Genomic DNA, 19,973 nt, shown 5'->3' with positions numbered 1-19,973 from the left:
ATTAGATATATTCAGTCTAACCAGTAGACATAAACTGCATTCTTTAAAATTGTATGCCTCTACTAATGGCATGATGAATAAAATAGAGCTTTAACAAGTACACGCAATTGACTATTTTGAAAGACTATATTTGAAAAGTTAATTATAGCAGTAATACTTTTTTTTGAAGTTTTATCATTCAGTTTGAGAAAGTCTGGAGCAGTCAGTCACTAGGGGGCAGCCTGTACTGCTTCCACCTCTTTAGAAACAGTTGTATACTCTTTATCCTTATGTTAGTAACTGAGAATTATTTTGCATTGAAGAAAACAAATGTTCCTTCAATGAAAGAAATATTTTATTATTCATAGATATGAAGAAAATGGACAAAATTATTTTGTTCTCTTATATTTAAACTGGAATAATTCCTTGGTTAAATGAATCTTGACATCTGGGAAGCCCAGCTTTGCTTCTTAGGTAGCCCCAGCAAAGTGTCCGAATTTAGGTTTAGAAGGGGTTTTCCCTGTCTAAACAAGTTTCAGATAATAATGTATCCAAACGTTCCTCTAATCTTCCCTTTCTCGTCTGTGGATTTCTCCCAAATGCCGTAGAATAGGAACTAGACTCTTGAGCTAAATTGGAGAAAAGAAAACCACAGCTCAGAATCCAACAGGGCATTTTCTTCCATCCACTGATTTCATCTGGCATTGCTTAGTGGCAGTTCCTTTTGGTAGAACCCTGTGAAAAATATCAGAGGATGTGTGAAAGAGAAAACTTGGTGTTTCTTGATTTCAGTTCTTTACTAATCTTTTTCTCATGCCATTCTAGTTTTGTGTAAATCTTTTCTCATTAGATTGATAAACTTTCCAGTTTCTGCATATCCCTAGAATAGACGAACTCATCTCCGGATGCTTTTGAGCCATTTTATTTCTAGTAGCATAAGGAGACTGTTTCTGCTTTTCTCCCTATCCTTCCCCTAATATAGTATGGCTTGGCTTCTTATTCTCTGGGACTTTTAAATCATAATTTAATGTTATTTCTTCCTTTCTATAGATAGAGACATTGGGATCTACCAGTATTATGACAAGAAAGATCCACCAGGTAAAGTACCTATTCTGTGCAATTAATTTTTATTAACTAAATATTCTAAACCATGAAATACTGACCATTAAAAGCTCTCTTCTCATGAGCTTTAGATAAATTCTAGAATTTTAAGAAAAGTCCCTTCAGTTCTTTAGAAAAATGCTGAGGTTGATATCTATCTGTTCTATATAAAATAAAGTAGTATCGAGAAAATGCTGTAGAAAGACATGAAAATTTTCATTTTACTGCTGATCAGGCTGATTATAGGGCAGTCTATTCACATTTATTTATCAGTGTCCCAGTAGAGGGCATTGTTAATGCATGGGTCCTACTGATGCTGGCCTCCTGGATCCTCACCTGATATCTGAAATAGGCATTTCTGAGTGAATGATCAATTTTCTTTATCTGATTAATCCTGCTAATCCCAGAAGTTTTATGATGGGCCAAAAGGTCTTTCTAGCTAGAGTTACTTCCTGTTTTGGTCTCCGTTGAAGTGGGCTTGTGTGAGCAGCCTGTGTGCTTAGCTTAGTGGTTAATAGGCTGACTTCATGGTTCTGATGACAGACTGAAGCAGCTTCTGTTCTGGGCTCTGTTGCAGTTCTCTTTCCTATCTGATCAGATTGGAAGCTCAGGATATTGGTCCACCTTTTGTGCCCTTTCACTGCAAATTTAGGAAATATCTCTATGAAATGAAAACATCCAAATTATGGCATTTTTTTCAACTGTCCTTTTAGAACCTAAGCATAATTTATTAATCTCAATAATGCATGTAATGTTAATAATACCTTATACATGTACATATTAAAATACAAGGCATTATAATAAAAATAAATTCTACTTTTGTTTTTTTCTTTCTATCCCTTCTGCCACAATATCAGCGACAGAGCATGGTAACTTAGAAAAGAAGCAGAAGCTGGCAGAGTGTAAGCTTACTTTATATTTTTTGGAATTATTATAAAACTGTAAAGTTCAGTATTATAAAATATTCATCTGGAACAAAGAGGAAACTTTATTCCCTCCAAATTTTTTAAATTCCTATTACTTAGGAATATAAACATATAAGTAACAATTGTATTTGTCAGGCCTTTCTAATTTAGATCGTTGAAATCTCTATTCAATTTTGATAAAATGTTTGTTTATATAAACATAAAATTTCATAATGAACTATATATTAGTATATTTAGGATAATTATACCAAGCTTAAATTCTGATAGTAACATTTAATTATTCATACTTTGCCTAAATTGTTAACATGTCTTACCCATTTTTAAGAAAATAGTATTTGTAATATCAGTATTAGCATTTTATTCACTCTAGTCTTTTCTGATCTCCAGTATATAAGTATGTTGTATATATTATGGCGACAATGTAATACGGTTTTAATGACATAGAATTAAACATACATTAAAATTTTTTTGGATTATAGCTAGAGCTGAAAATCCCATTTGTTCTCTTGTTTTTTAAATGGTTGAACTGACATTTAATTTTAAAAAATAATGTATTAGTAGCTGCAACACAGATTTAAAAATTTGCATATACGTTCTACATCAAAATTGTTTATAGACCCAAATTCATTTGCTGAAATAAGATGTATAGCAATTCTACTCTTAAATTTAAGTATCTATGTATACTATGTATATGTATATGTACATATAACACACATGTAAGCACAAATACACATATAACTCATTTAGAATTATTAATGAGGAGAATCCAAAGATGAATTCATTTTTCTGATAAAATAGACATGTTTAACATTTTTAAATTATTTTAAACAGAACTATTTTTAATTTATTTTAGGCTAACATGACTCTACTAAATAATTTTATCCTTCACTTAATTTATTTAAAGCAAAACGAAGGCTTATCATTATTCAATTGTGGTGTATACTTTAAAGATAACTGTTTTAAATTAAAAAGAGCACTATTAGGGCCTAATTTGTTAAAACTTGGATTTCCCTCAGATTTTTCCATAGTTTTAAAATGTGGAGCTTTAATGCTTAACTTCATATATTTTTACATACAGTTTTATTTTTTATTTCTTTTCATTTTATTTCTTTGCTCATTATATTCATTTACTCATGATAATTTTTTTTTTTTTTTAGGTCTGAGTAGGTTACTTGTAGAATTTGGAATTTCTTTTGGATTGAACATTTAATTATTTACATGAAAAAGTTAGTAAAGACTACATCATTTACCATGAATTACTAGATTCACAAGCCTAGCAAACTTTCCCAGGGATTCTCCAAGCCTTGTTGGTTGTCATTGTAAAATTATGGTTAGGGAGATTGTTTTGTGGTAAAAATCCTGTTCCTATGACAAAGCCTTTCATAAGGCTGTCATTTGATGATGGAAATGAAGCCCACTTCCTCTCGATTATAGAGGTGTTTTATTTTAATCTCCCTAAGGCACACTGCTAAGCAGAATTTCCTTTTTAAATCTTGTTTAACTAACTGTAGTACATGTTTTATTTGCCAGCACGAGATTATCCTTGGACGCTCAAAAACAGACGCCCAGAAAAACTCCGAGACTCGCTCAAAGAGTTGGAGGTATCTTTCAAAAAGTTTCAAAAATGGCAACAAACAAATCTGTTTTTAAAACATCTTTCAACAGCTTTAATTTTCATAAAGGATCAACTCTCATGGTGATGATAGCTTTGCTTTTGTCCAGTGATGAGTTCCAAAACAGTTGGATCTTTGTGTGGCATGTTGATCTTTTTTTGCTTGCAAATCAGAGGCACTTTAACTGATAATGACAATGTGTACAGCCAACTACGCTCTCTCTTTTTCTGTTGTGCTTCAGGAGCTGATGCAAAACAGTCGGTGTGTGCTGAGCAAATGGAAGAACAAATATGTCTGTCAGGTAAAATGATTTGACAAGCCTTTGCAGTGTTTAACCAATGGAGCTGAAAACTATGTAGTAATTGGTATTCTTGTGTTATGTTAGGTAATGGACAAAAACTTTTTTAGCAGTGGTTATTTCATAGTTTGAATTCTAGTTGTTCTAGAGCTAACATTAGACAGATTGACACAGGCCACCAGGCTCATTAATCAGTATTAACCAGTATAGTTGTACTGACATACAAACACTAATAAAAATCTTTTCATATTGTATTTTTTTGTTTGAAGTTGTCTGAATGTTGTAGTAGATGTTTGCTGGCATAGATTTAATAATATTTTTGAGTGAAGATGAAACCACAGGGCAAAAGACTTTTTGGCATACTACTCTTGTAAGCATTTGTGAATATCATTGCTTATGCAAATCAACAAGCCGACTACATACAGTTAGACCTATCATAACAAGACATTTAGTCTTACTTTTTGAACCCTGTAAGCTGTGCTGTTTACTATGGTAGCCACTAGTCATATGTGACTGAATAATTAAATAAAATAAAAAATTCAGTTCTTCAGTTGCACTACCCGCATTTAAGTGTTCAATAGCCACATGTTATCATATTGGACAGTGCAGATACAGAACATTTCCATCTCAGACAGTTCTATTGGACAATAGTGTTAAGGCCTAGACAAGTGATCTAAGTATTGAATGGGTAGATTCAGAACATAATAATTAGTGTACACTGATTACAAGATAATGACAAATGCTTTAGCTTTGCTGATAGGCTTAAAAAGTACTATATGCCTAGAAAAATTTAATATACTTGTGATAAAAAGAATAATTATTAGTCATCTGTGGAATTGAAGTTGCATTAGTTCTAATAATAATTGTAACTGATGTATGGAATCAAATATTCCTATATTAATTTAAATTCTTTTTTACAATGTGATTTATTTTGTGTAATCATTCTTGTTTGTAGTTTAGGCCCATGGTTCTATTCATAAAGCTACAACGTCAAATTTGTAGCAATTATAAACAGATCTTAATCTACTATTTGAATATATATACTATCATTTTTGTGGATGCTAGTTTTTCCTCATTTTTTTGTCTAGTCTACCTTTACTCATGGAGGCAACTATTTAGTTACCTTCTCAACTGGCATAAACTTATTTTTCAGAGGTCGTTTACAAGGGTGAATTAGCATTTTGAGAATTATAATACTTCTTAAATTTGCCTTAGGATACTATTAAAAAGGATGGCATTTAAAAAAATTATAGCTTATTTGCATAATAGTACATTTCAATCAGACTTTAAAACTTGAATACAAAATACGCTCCAGAAAGTTTCAAACTTAGTACCAAACTTGTAGTTTTTAATGCCATTACTCACGTTAAAAACAGGCTCAGAATTATTTGACCAGAGGGCCAGCCTGCCACCTATAGTAAGAGGCATGTCTCATGGCCTCCACCCTTACCCATCACACAGGGTAAATTGGAACATGTCGGGCATCTTAAAATATGCAGTGGAGCATCCCAAAAGACAATCCTTTTTAGATAGAGTTTAATGAATTTTAATTTAATAGTAATTTTGTGTGTGTGTCTGACGAAGGGATGTCTGGAGAAGAATGTCCCTCACTATTACATTAATTCAACTCAGAAAGGGAATTTTCATGATAAAATATATATATAATTACTTTTGTAATTTACAGTAATCTAATCGGTTAATCAGGCTGGTGTACCAATGAATCTGCTTTTAACGTTTCTAATAGGACTTATCTTTTTTTGTTGTTCTGTTATATTCTGTGCTTCATTTCTATGATTATAAAGATATTTCTAAAATAGACCTTATACTCTCAGCACATTCTTGATGTGGTATATTTTAACAAGATAACTTCACCTCCACCCTGCCCACAGGTCTAGGTTAGTCTTCACATATTTAAAGTCTTTGAGAGACCTCCTAACATTATCCCTTCACTTCTTCAGTTTCTAGTTAAGACTGTTAGCTAGTTCTTCTAAAAATCTATGTAGGTTCTATTTCAAAAGATCTCTGGTATCGCAATAAATTAAAATTTTGATGTTCAAGCTACGTTATTAGCTTAAGGGAATGAACCCCTTAGCCCTTTTAGTTAAATTTTTGTTAAATTTTCCTTAGTTATAAAGTAAGTAAACCACCTCAACAGGCTCCCCAAGGGACCTCCTTTTGTGCACATATCCAGTATGGTGGTTCCAGAGATAACATGTCAGCTGACTGCAACATAATGCTCTATAACTCTTAGAAAAGGAGTGAAAAAGTTCATCAACATCTTCATGCTAACATGTTTGGACGCTCAGTCTTTTAATTTGGCTACTCCTCTGCTAATGTACGTCATTTTCTCCCAAGAAATGGTAAATTTAGGATTTATGAATTTATTTTAGTTGTCATCCCTTACTGCTTTAAAAAGTCCAATTGTTTAAAAATGAGCCAGGCAACCACAGCAACATAAGATTTCAGAGGATGCAATCTGAGGTTGGATCTTTCTCTGTGTCAAACAGTGAGTTTTCATCATTTACCAAAGCTTAGTTGATGTTGTCAATCCAATGATCTGCACATTGTACCATTTAAAAACTAATTCCCGTCACCTGTAAATTCAGAATTATTTTCTTTCTTTTTTTTTGGAGGATAGTAGTTTATTTTATTTTTCAGGATGTTTACTTATTTTTTCTCCTGTTTTTATTTTTTAATTTTATTTTTGTTTTTTATTTCCATAGGTTTTTGGGGGAACAGGTGGTGTTTGGTTACATGAATAAGTTCTTTGGTGGTGATTTCTGAGATTTTGGTGCACCCATCACCCGAGCAGTATTCACTGTATCCTATTTGTAGTCTTTTATCCCTCACCCCCCTCCCACCCTTTCCTGTGAGTCCCCAAAGTCCATTGTATCATTCTTATGCCTTTGCATCCTCACATCAAACTCCCACTTATAAGTGAGAATATACAGTGTCTGGTTTTCCATTCCTGAGTTACTTCACTTAGAATAATGGTCTGCAATTCCATCTAAATTGCTGTGAATGCCATTATTTCATTGCTTTTTATGGCTGAGTAGTATTCCATGGTATATATTTACCACAGTTTCTTTATTCACTTGTTGATTGATGGGCATTTGGGCTGGTTCCATATTTTTGCAATTGCGAATTGTGCTGCTGCAAACATGCATGGGCAAGTATCTTTTTCGTATAATGACTTCTTTTCATCTCGGTAGATACCCAGTAGTGGGATTGCTGGATCAAATGATAGTTCCACTTTTAGTTCTTTAAGGAATCTCCACACTGTTTTCCATAGTAGTTATACTAGTTTACATTTTCACCAGCAGTGTAAAAGTGTTTCCTTTTCACCACATCCCCACTAAATCTATTATTATTTTTATTTTTTGATTATGGCCATTCTTGCAGGAGTAAGGTGGTATATCACATTGTGGTTTTGATTTGCATTTCCCTGATCATTAGTGATATTGAGCGTTTTTCCATGTGTTTGCTGGCCATTTGTATATCTTCTTTTGAAAATTGTCCATTCATGTCCTTAACCCACTTTTTTTATGGGATTGTTTGTTTTTTTTCTTACTGATTTGTTTGAGTTCATTGTAGATTCTGGATATTAGTCCTTTGTCAGATGTATAGATTGTGAAGATTTTTTCCCACTTTGTGGGTTGTCTGTTTACTCTGCTGACTGTTCCTTTTGCTGTGCAAAAGCTCTTTAGTTTAATTAGGTCCCAGCTATTTATCTTTGTTGTTATTGCATTTGCTTTTGGGTTCTTGGTCATGAAATCCTTGCCTAAGCCAATGTCTAGAGGGGTTCTTCCAATGTTATCTTCTAGAATTTTTATAGTTTCAGGTCTTAGGTGTAAGTCCTTAATCCATCTTAAGTTGATTTTTGTATAAGGTGAGAGATGAGAATCCAGTTTCATTCTTCTACATGTGGCTTGCCAATTATCCCAGCACCATTTGTTGAATAGGGTGTCCTTTCCCCACTGTATGTTTTTGTTTGCTTTGTCAGAGATCAGTTGGCTGTAAGTATTTGGGTTTATTTCTGGGTTCTCTATTCTGTTCCATTGGTCTATGTGCCTATTTTTATACCAGCACTACGCTGTTTTGGTAACTATGGCTTTGTATTATAGTTCGAAGTCAGGAAATGTGATGCCTCCAGATTTGTTCTTTTTGTTTAGTCTTGCTTTGGCTATGCGGGCCCTTTTTTGGTTCCATATGAATTTTAGGATTGTTTTTTCTAGTTCTGTGAAGAATGGTGGTGGTATTTGATGGGAATTACATTGAATTTGTAGACTGCTTTTGGCAGTATGGCCATTTTCATGATATTGATTCTACCCATCCATGAGCATGGGATGTATTTCCATTTGTTTGTGTGATCTGTGATTTCTTTCAGCAGGGTTTTGTAGTTTTCCTTGTAGAGATCTCTCACTTCCTTGGTTAGGTATATATCTAAATATTTTTTTTCTTTTGCAGCTATTGTAAAAGGGTTGAGTTCTTGATTTTATTCTCAGCTTGGTAGCTGTTGGGCTACTGATAATAGCAGAGCTACTGATTGTATACATTAATTTTGTATCCTGAAGCTTTACTGAATTAGTTTATCAGTTCTAGGAGCCTTTTGGAGGAGTCTTTAGGGTTTTCAAGGTAAACGATTGTATCATCAGCAAACAGTGACACCTTGACTTCCTCTTTACCCATTTGGATGCCCTTGATTTGTTGCTCTTGTCTGATTGCTCTGGCTGAGACTTCCAGTACTATTTTGAATAGAAGTGTTGAGAGTCAGCATCCTTGTCTTGTTCCAGCTCTGGCTGGGACTTCCAGTACTATGTTGAATAGAAGTGTTGAGGGTCAGCATCCTTGTCTTGTTCCACTTCTCAGGGGAAATGCTTTCAACCTTTCCCCATTCAGTATTATGTTGGCTGTGGGTTTGTCATAGATGGCTTTTATTACATTAAGGTATGTCCCTTCTATGCCAGTTTTGCTGAGGGTTTTGTCGAATGCTTTTTCTGCATCTATTGAGATGATCATGTGATTTTTGTTTTTAATTCTGTTTATGCAGTGTATCACATTTATTGAATTGAGTATGTTAAATTATCCTTGCATCCCTGGTATGAAACCCACTTGCTCATGGTGGATTATCTTGTGATGTGTTGTTGAATTCAGTTAGCTAGTATTTTGTTAAGGATTTTTGCATCTATATTCATCAGGAATATTGGTCTGTAGTGTTCTTTTTTTTGTTATGTCCTTTCCTGGTTTTGGTATTAGGGTGATACTGGCTTCATAGAATGATTTAGGGAGGATTTCCTTTTTATCTTGTGGAATAGTGTCAATAGGATTGATACCAATTCTTCTTTGAATATCTGATAGAATTCAGCTGTGAATTTGTCTGGTCCTGGACTTTTTTTTGTTGGCAGTTTTTTATATTACCATTTCAGTCTTGCTGCCTGTTACTGGTCTGTTCAGAGTTTCTATTTCTTCCTGGTTTAATCTAGGAAGGTTGTATATTTCCAGGAATTTATCCGTCTCTTCTAGGTTTTCTAGTTTATGGGCATAAAGGTGTTCATAGTAGCCTTGAATGATTTTTTTTTTTTGTATTTCTGTGGTATTGGTTGTAATATCTCCCGTTTTGAACTTATTTTGATCATCTCTCTTCTTTTCTTGGTTAATCTTGCTAATGGTCTATCAATTTTATTTATCTTTTCAAAGAAACCGGCTTTTTGTTGCATTTATCGTGTGTGTTTTTGTTGTTGTTGTTGTTTGTTTGTTTCAGTTTCATGTAGTTCTGCTCTGATCTTTGTTATTTCTTTTCTTCTGCTGGGTCTGGGTTTGGTTTGTTCTTGTTTCTCTAGTTCCTTGAGGTGTGACCTGAGATGGTTTGTGCTCTTTCAGACATTTTGATGTACGCATTTAAGGCTATGAACTTTCCTCTTAGCACCATCTTTGCTGTATCGCAGAGGTTTTGATAGGCTGAGTCACTATTATGGTTCAGTTCAAAGAATTTTTAAATTTCCATCTTGATTTCATTGTTGACCCAACAATCTTTGAGGAGCAGGTTATTTAATTTCCATGTATTTGCATGGTTTTGAGGGTTCCTTTTGGAGTTTTATTCTACTGTGGTCTGAGAGAGTACTTGATATAATTTCAGTTTTCTTAAATTTACTGAGACTTGTTTTGTGGCCTATTCTATGGTCCATCTTGGAGAAAGTTCCATATGCTGATGAATAGAATGTATATTCTGCAGTTGTTGGATGGAATGTTTTGTAAATATCTGTTAAATCCATTTTTTTTCTAGGGTATAGCTTAAATCCACTGTTTCTTTTTTGACTTGGTCTTGATGACCTGTCTAGTGCTGTCAGTGGAGTATTGAAGTCCCTTGCTAATACTGTGTTGCTGTCTATCTAATTTCTTAGGTCGAATAGTGATTGTTTTATAAATTTGGGGCCTCCATTGTTAGGTGCATATATGTTTAGGATTGTGATATTTTTCCTGTTGGACAAGTCATTTTATCATTATATAATGTCACTCTTTGTCTCTTCTGTGCTGTGTCTGCACTCCCAATTCACCCCCTCCCTTGAGTTCTGTCCAGCAAACTTCACATTCACATTTGGTTGAAATTGTTACAAAGTTGAGCTGGAAGTTTCCTTCTCCCTGTGGTCTCTTCCCAGGGAGCCCTTCCCAAGGATCTCTGCAAGACAAAAGTCAGAAATGGCTTCCCTGGGGACTGAGAGCCCATAGTTCTCTTCCCACTGCTGCTTCTACCCTTTTGTTTTGCTTGGCTCTCTAAAATTGTCTCAGCTCCAGGTAAGGTGAGATCCTTCTCCTGTGATCTAGACCTTTAGGTTCCCTATTTAGGGTGTGTGTTCGGGGGTGGATGATCCTCCTTTCCCACTTTCACACTTCGGGCACTCACGGTTTTGGGGCTGTTTCCCAGGGCCTGCAGGAGCAATCTACTTCCTTCAGAGGGTCTGTGGATTCTTTTGGCTTTTCTGTTAAGTTCCTGTGGTAGTTCTTGGAGCAAAAGTTCATGATGTGTGTCCCCACGTGCTGCTCTGTGTGTCTGAGTGGGAGCTTTAGTTTAGTCCTGCCTCCTATCCACCATTTTCCTTCTACCTCCCAGAATGGTTTTCAAATCAAGACTTACCTATACATATGTTGAGGATAAAAATTGTCTTTTAAAGTTGATTTTCTTCAGACAATGCCTGTCCCTAGTTTGGGATACATTAAAAGGTATGAGATATATAGTTTTAGTTTTACCAGCTATTTAATATATTTCTCACATTTTTTTTGTCTCCTAAAATCATTTCACTAAAAGTGTTTAATAATTTCTTGCTTTGAATTTCTTAAATCATTATAAATCTGTTCCTAGAGAATAATAGTTTTAACATTAATATACTATTAAATTGTTCATTAGTCTGGTGGAATTTTTGAATTTAATAAAGTATTATGGTTTAAGTCACATTCATGTTTGTAGATTATTATGCAATTAGTTTAAAACAGTATTATCATTAAGTATAGATGTAACTTCATATATGTTCATTTTGGATTAAATTATTTGAATTGTGCATGTAAATTTAACTATAAAAGTATATAATATAGTCAGCTGTACCATGGTTTCCATCCATAACAATTCTGCATTTTCAGGCACAATCATAAAAGGTCAACTAAAGATAGTTTCCTTTTTAAATGCCTCTGGTAAATTATTTGACAGGCTATGTAAAAGTACAAATTATTTTCCAAGCCTATCACAGATAAATTGTGACCTTATGAAACTCATTTGATCACAACTCCCTTAATTGTAGAACTTGATTTTTCTTTTTGTCAAGTTGTGCGAAACTCAATTTGCTTTTCTCATAAAATAATAATAGACATACCATGTTTTCAAGTTATAACTATTAATAATAGCTTATTATTTATACAAAACTCATCACACAGTATTTATTGATTTCAACCATTGTGGGAAGAACTGTGGGAGTCACTAAAGAAATATAAGGCATGGACTGGGTCCACAGCATAACCTAGTCAAGGAAAATAGACACATGAAATCACTAGGACACTAATGAGTGCCAAATTGTATGACACTGAGTAAAATGATGGTAGAAGTTTAGAGAAAGCATAGCATAAAATAAGAACAAATTTGTGGAGAATTTATAACTTTACTTAGACCTAAAAAGCTGTGTGAAATTTGGTTAAGCCGAAAGGAAAAGTATTCCAGAAAAAGGGAATTATATTAATTGAGACTTAAATAGGGTGTCTACATAGTATTGAGGAGGTGAGCCCATTTAGAAATACATGGTTCATGTTGAAGAATGAAGGGACTAGAAAGGCACCTTGGAACTTCCTCGTCGGGGACTTTGAATGTTATATTAAGGAACTGACACATTGTCCTGTAACACTGTAAACACTTTCATATTGCGGAGTACCATATTAAAATTAGGCTTATAGAAGGATTAGCCTGGCAGTGGGATGTAGGGTAACACGTGAGAACCAGAGGCCCTGAAATCATTTCAAATGATAAGTACAGTGAGCTTAAGGTGCAGAGGGTTTTGAAAGCCAGAAAAATTTAGAATGACAGGTAAAAAATTTAGTTTTGACTCTGTTACATGTGAAGTGACCAGAGGTAATCAAATGATGATATTATTGGAAGTATGGAACCGCAGTGAAAGGTTGGTGTTGAAAATTTGAGAGGAGACAGCCTCCCAAATCACCTAAGAGGTGATACTAAAACCATCTAAGAGGGTGCCCTCAAGAAGGAGTAGATGAGTATCTTGGGAGAAGAGCTAGAGCCAAGGATCTTCTCATTTGGAGGACAGGAGAGGAAAATTAAGCCAACAGAAGAAACATAAAGATCAATTAGAGTAATGAGGAACTGTGGAGAAGTTTATTTCCCTAAAAATTAGAGGGTTTAGAAGTCAGAGGGCCTGAAAAAGCCTTAACTTATATTTTGATTCCTGTTTTAATATTTAACTACTTACAAGTCTCAATGTTGTTATTATTAAGCTCTCTATCAACAGGCATTTGTTGAGGCTCAACAAGAAACCCATCTTTATGTTAGGGACTAGTGAAAATATTAGATGGAAATTTGAAATATATTTGGGAAATGAAACTAATGTATAAAATATTAAAGGATAATTTGATATTAAATGTTATATTTGTTGATACAGTATCTAAAGTTTAATATCTAAAGTACAGTATCTTAAGTTCAGAGGTTGTTGCTGATTAAAGTAGTTGGTTAAGATTTCATAAAGGAGACTGGACATAGCTGGACTTTGCAGGAAGGACATAACTTTAGGCAAGCAGAAAGAGAAAGGACAACATTCCTAGTCAGGGGAAATGTACCATCAAAGAAAAACTGTCTTTTGATAAGCACAAATTAAGGGCTAGAAAGGTAGTCTGAAAAGATTGCTCCATAGATGTGTATTTGATTTCCTCTTTTGACATACTCTACAACTGTTTTGTTGCAGGGTTGGGCTAGTTTCACTATTATGATAAACAAATAAATAATACTGTGTAGGGGCTACTGAACTTAGCCAGTATGTGGCAGCTTAGCACTTTATATTTTCCCACTTAAAAAAAAAGTATTTACTGGTTTTCTTTAAAATTATGAAAATAACAGACATGCTTAAGGCAGAAAATTTGGAAAACACAGAGAAGCCCAAAGGGACATAAATCATCTAATTCAGCCACTCAGTATTACCCACTATTCACCATTTGATATTTATCTTTTTACTGTGCAGACATTTACTTACAAGTATTTGCTTAAAAGATTACATAGTTGATATACATATACTGTACATATGGCCTAATTATTTTAACACATAATATTTGAACTTACATTAATACATTACATATATTCTTTTTCATGTGTCATAAAATAAACACGTGAACCCAACACTGAACTAATGAATTAGATTATTACCAATATTGTTGAATCTGCCTATTATTCTTCCTCCACCCAGTTGCCCATCCCTCTCAGATACAGATGGTTTTAAAGAGCTTTTCCTACCAATCATTAAAATGTACAAATTAAAATAGCAGTGAGATACTACTTTTTCCACTCAGGAGATAAGCAAATATTTAACAGCCTCAGATATTAATGGTAAGTTTATAGGAAAATGAGTATTTTCATAAATCACTGGTCAGAGTGTACAATTGCCAATTGGAGGGCAATTCTATTGTTAGATATGTATACTAGAGAAACATTCACATAAATGTCCAATTAAAGTAAATGTTTAAAATTGAGAACCATCTTATGTCTGCCAATTAGTGCAGAACTTTTTATGTATACTTTGATTCCATTTATGTAACATAAATTTTCTAATTTGCCATGGATATGTATTTATGTGTGTAAAATTATTAAAAAATGCACTGGAAGACACAATTCTAGTTACCTCTGATATCCTGTAATTGGATATTCTTCAATTCTGTATGTATTTATTTAAGTTCTATATTACCTGAATATACATTTTTTATTTAAAATTTATATAGCATTTCCTATGTGCCAGGCAATCTTTGAGTATTTTATAAATATTAACTCATTTTCATTTCTCATAGAACAAATATTAACTCACTGTACTCCTCACAGCCCTTAGAGATAGCTATTATGTCTCCATTTAATAGATGATAAAACAGGAATAAGGATTAATTACACAACTAGTAAGTCATACCAGGATTCACACTCAAATAAGGTGGCTTCAAAGTTCATGCCCTTAGTCACTGTATATCATACTGTTTTTCAGCAAAACGTAATTATAGAAAAAATATTCAAATAAAAATATCCTCAATCACAGTAAGATATGGAACACACATAGGTCTTCCCATTAAACATGGGTAATTAAAGCTATATTATTATTCTCATTTCCTCTTATAACTTCACTAAATTATAGTAAAGCAATGGGAAAAAAAAGATGTAAAGTCATGAGGACAAAGAGAATAAAAAGGCTGTGAAAATAGGAGATATCGGTTTTTGGAAGTTGCAAACCAGATGGCTATGTGGTACCTGACTTTACAGACCACAGGCTTTCCTGAAATATCAGTGGTTGCAGCAAAAGATACCAATGGGGAATAAAAGTTTAGTACTATAGAACCCCAGAAAGGCACAAATATTGGGATGACCAAGTGCATTAGGAGGTAGAACTTAAAATAAGGGGGTATGTTGAAAGTTTGTATAAAGAGAAAATGAGATGGAATAATTTTTGGGAGACACCAACCCACAGGGTTTCTGGACTTGAAAACACTAAGCACATTAAAAAGTAAACATGAGGTGGCTAGACTGAAAATAAGGTGATTAATTGAGTCTGTATCCAGAATAGTGAGGTTTTTCCCAACTCTTTCCCTGCTCCAGCAACAAGGCTTATGTCTCTATGTTACTTGCTTAGAGGATCCTTCTCTGGAAAAATAGATTATTCTTCCCAGAGTAAAACGTATACATACTGATGTTTGACAGTTCTCTCTGAAAAGGTAGCTGTGCCAACTAACCTCCTTACAATGAGGCTCAAGTTAACAAGCCTACCCATGTAAACCAACTTTCTAATCACCTTTAAATGTAATCGGAGAGCCAGAGATCACCATACTTTTGTGGAAATTCTCCATCTGTAAATCTCAGATCTGTAAGTCTAAGGCTTCAGAAAATAGAATCAGGGACAATGCCGTAAATGGAACTAAATTCAGAGAATTAAAATGTGTATCCACAGAGAAATAAGAGAAGATGTTGCATCCTGGAAACAAGAATGGTATGCTGTTTTTAACAAGGAATAATTGGCTGGGCACGGCGGCTCACGCCTGTAATCCTAGCACTTTGGGGGGCCAAGGTGGGTGGATCACCTGAGGTCAGGAGTTCCAGACCAGCCTGGCCAATGTGGCAAAACCCTGTCTCTACTAAAAATACAAAAATTAGCCAGGCGTGGTGGCACACACCTGTAATCCCAGCTACTCGGGAGGAGGCGAAGGTTGCAGTGAGCCAAGATCGCACTACTGTACTCCAGCCTGGGAGACAGAGTGAGACTCCATATCAAAAAAATAAAAAATAAAAAATAAAAGTAATAATCAGGAAAAAGGGAAAGGAATTCTTGCAAGAACATGACAGCGTAAATAGAAAAATTAATACATTTGAAAGATAAAGTTGAAATATCCCTATAATGTGGAACAGAATGACAAAGGGACATGATAATGAACCAAAGGTGATAGGAGATAAAAAAAATTAGAATATTAAGTCAAAAGATGTAATATCTAACTAATAATAGAAAACAGAAGAGAAGAATAAAAGAAATAATAAAAGAAAATTTCCCCGAACTGAAGGCATGTCTGTAGTTTGAAAGGACCCAATGATTAAAAAAAGATTAATAGGCATATTTTGTGAATTTTAGAAAAGGCATTTTTGTTAATTTTAGGAAATCAAAGAGAGAAAAAAAGAAAATCCAAAAAACTTCTAGAGTTTAAAAAAAAAGAAAAGAAAAAACAGCAAGATACATACAAAAGATTGGGAATCAGGATTATATCAGACTTCTCAACAGTAACACGAGGAGTTAGAATACAATGAGGCCTTCAAAATTCGGAAAGAAAGTGATTTTTAGCCTATAATTCTGTATCTAAAATTCTAAATTGTCACATGTATACATATGTAACCTGCACATTGTGCACATGTACCCTAAAACTTAAAGTATAATAATAATTAAAAAAAAAATTCTAAATTGTCATTCAAGCCAGACACTTTCAGACTTAGTAGCTCTCAAAAAAATTTACCTGCCAAGAACTTTTCTCAGGAAGTTATTGAAAGATGTGATGCCCTAAAGCCATAGAGTAAACAAGATTCTTAGGAATCAAGAAACAGTGAATTTCATACAGGAAAGAGGTGAAACAAAGTTTTAGAATGACTGTGCCTTAGTCTCAGAGAGCAGCTAGTCCAAATAGGGGCAGGGAATGGGAGGTTCCAGGAAGGATGTTGAAGAGATGGAAAGCAACTGATAGATCATTTAATGTAAGATAATTAATAAGAGATAATAAGAGATATGGTAAATCTGCATATATGGTAATGGGAAGTCAATAAGTAATGACTAAATCAAGAAACAGCATCTATTGAAGACACTACTCCTTGCTTGTCCATCATCCATTTTTCCTTATGAACTGACTTTGATGTTCAGAGTAGCAATATAACCAATTAAAAATTCTTGGCTTTCCTATTCCCCTTCCAGCTGCAGTTGGCCATATGAAGCACGTCTTGCTTTGCTAAGCAGAGGTTACTGGTGGGACTTCCAAGAATTGGGTTATAACTTCTCCGCTTCTGCTCTTCGCCTTCTTTTAGAAGTCTGAATCTGAGATATGATCCAGAAAGGGTAGGGGCAGCTTGTGACCATTCATTCACTCAATGCATATTTATTTAGTACCAACAATATGCCAGATAGTATTCTATGTGCTGGGGATAGCAGTGAACAAAAGGGACAAAAGTGACCAATATCCCTGTTCTCATGTAGCTTATGTTCTAAAAGAGGACAGAGTCAAGAAAAGATGAATAAGGAAAATATGTAAGAGAGTGCAACTACTAGAGAAAAATAAAAGCAAGCAAGAAAGCATGATGGGGGATGGTAGGGCAGGCTGGGCCTCATATTTGGTGGCCAGGAAAGGCCTTAATGAAGTATCCCCAGATTGAGATTAAGATATGAAGGAAGTGAGGGAGTAAACCATGGAAGATACCTGCGGAAGAGCGTTCCAGGTAGAGGGAACAACAGGTACAAAGGCCCTGAGATGGGAGTATACCTGGCATGTTTGAAGAATAGCAGGGAGTTGATATGAGTGGGGTGAAATGAGCAAGAAGAGTAGTAGGAATTGAGGTCAGAAAGGAAATGTGACACTAGTTATATGTCTTCTAGGTCATCCAGAGGGCTTGGCTTTTACTCTAAATGAGAAGAGAAGCTCTTGAAGAGTTTTGAGTGGAGAAATATGTTTCAATTTACTTTTTAATTGGATCACTGTAGCTATTGATGGGAATAGATTGAAGACAGTGAAAAAGATGAGTTAGAAGGCTGTTGCCGTAGTCCAGGGTAAGGTGTGATGGTGGCTTTGACTGGATGATAGCAGTGGAGTGGTGAGAAATGGCCAGATTCTGGGTATATTTTGAGTGTTGAGGCATCAGAATTTGCCGATGGATCAAATGTGGGGTATAGAGGAAATTTCTGAGGAATTGGAAGAATGGAGTTGTCATTTACTGATGTGGGGAAGATTGAGAAGAGATATTTTTGAGGGACTTATCAGAAGTTCAATTTTGGACATGGTATGTTTGAAATGCCCATTAGATAGCCAATTAGAGAAGTCAAATAGATTGTTGATTATTGGAATTTGTAGTTGAGGGAAAGATTTGGGCCAGATGTATAAATTTGAGTGGCAGCAACACAGATGGCACTAAAAGCCAAAAGACTGGTGAAGATCACCAAAGGAGTGGGTGTAGACAGAGAAACAGAGGAGACTGAAGAGTGGAGCCCTGGAGTCCACTAACATTTTAAGATTAGAGAGACGGAGAAAAGGGAAGATGAAGAAAGGAGACAGAATGGAGTAGCTAGAGAAGTAGAGCACAATGAAGGGAGTGTGGTGTCCTGGAAACCAAGTTTCAAGAATAAAGTGGAGTGTTACTAGTATGCCAAGATACCTGTAACAAGATGGTGGCCATTGGCCACTGCATGGAGGAGCATGCAGGTCATTCATGATCTAGATAAAAGCAGTTTCAATGGAAGGTGATGGTAGAAGCCTGATTGGAAAGTATTTTTTAAAAAACTTTTATTTTAGGTTCAAGAGTACATGTGCAGGTTTGTTATATAGGTAAATATGTGTCATGGGGGTTTGTTATACAGATTATTTTGTCATCCTGGTACTAAGCTGAGTACCCAGTAGTGATTTCTTTTGCTCCTCTCCCACCTCCCACACTCCATCCTCAGGTAGGCCCCAGTGTCTATTGTTCCCTTCTTTTTGTTCATGTGTTCTCATCATTTAGCTCCCACTTACAAGTGAGAACATGTGGTATTTGATTTTATGTTCCTGAGTTAGTTTGCTAAGGATAATGGCCTCCAGCGCTATCCATGTTCCTGGAAAGAACATGGTCTTAGTCCTTTTTATGGCTGCATAGTATTCCATGGTATACATGTACCACATTTTCTTTATCCAGTCTACCACTGATGGGCATCTAGGTTGATTCCATGTCTTTGCTATTGTGAATAGTGCTGCAATGAATATATGCATGCATGTGTCTTTATGATAGAACTATTTATATTCCTTTGGGTATATCCCAGTAATGGGATTGCTAGGTCAAATGGTATTTCTGACTTTAGGACTTTGAGGAATCTCCACACTGCTTTCCCCCAAGTGGTTGAACTAATTTACACCCCCACCAACAGTGTATAAGCATTCCTTTTCTCTGCAACCTCACCAGCATCTGTTATGTTTTGACTTTTTAGTAATAGCCATTCTGACTGGTGTGGGATGATATCTCATTGTGGTTTTGATTTACATTTCTCTAATGCTCAGCGATATTGAGCTTTTTCTCATAGAGTTGTCGGCTGCATGTATGTCTTTTTTTTTTGAAAAGTGTCAGTTCATGTCCTTTGCCCACTTTTTAATGGGCTTTTTTTTTTCTTGTATTTAAGAGAAAATGGGAGGAGAGAAATTAGGGGCTTATAAAAAGGGTTAATGTTGTAAAGGAAAATGGAGAAATAGAGTAGGAGCTTGATGGAGAAATGGAGTCAAAAGAGGTTTTAATTTTTTCTTTCTTTTTTAGATGAGAGAAATAACAGATATTGGTATGCTAATGAGAATAATCCAATGGAAAGAGGGAAATCAATGCAGGGAAAGGGGAGCATTAATTGCTGGAGCTGTTGGCAAGAAAGAAGGAGAGAGACAGACAGAAAGAAAAACATACCTGCTAAGGGGGGAGGGAATAGAACGTAGGTGCCTGGTATCTGATGACATCATGGAGATGCTTTATAGTCCTGGACTGCTCAACTTCATATTTCTTTCTAAGTGAGAATAACAAGCCCTATTTGGTTAACTAGTGAGTTTTCAGGTTTGTGTTACATACACAAGAAT

At 34.9% G+C, this 19,973-nt stretch overlaps 1 protein-coding gene across 21 annotated transcripts in view; it reads left to right on the top strand.

The window, feature by feature from the left end:
• Positions 1 to 19,973, top strand: part of WDPCP (WD repeat containing planar cell polarity effector) — a 721,268-nt gene that overhangs the window by 352,303 nt on the left and 348,992 nt on the right. For all 21 annotated transcript variants that reach the window (NR_148705.2, NR_148704.2, XR_007076380.1 and 18 more), the window contains 4 exons: positions 1,030 to 1,077; positions 1,938 to 1,982; positions 3,537 to 3,607; positions 3,861 to 3,920. Coding sequence is in view for 17 of the 21 variants with exons in the window: in XM_047444629.1 (XP_047300585.1) it covers positions 1,030 to 1,077; positions 1,938 to 1,982; positions 3,537 to 3,607; positions 3,861 to 3,920 (224 nt within the window). In the remaining 4 variants the exon portion in view is untranslated. The remainder of the gene's footprint in view (positions 1 to 1,029; positions 1,078 to 1,937; positions 1,983 to 3,536; positions 3,608 to 3,860; positions 3,921 to 19,973) is intronic.

This window comes from Homo sapiens, chromosome 2 (genome assembly GCF_000001405.40).
Source record: "Homo sapiens chromosome 2, GRCh38.p14 Primary Assembly".
NCBI lineage: Eukaryota > Metazoa > Chordata > Mammalia > Primates > Hominidae > Homo > Homo sapiens.
The sequence above is the reverse complement of the archived record's forward strand: the minus strand, read 5'-3'. Positions and strand labels throughout refer to the sequence as shown.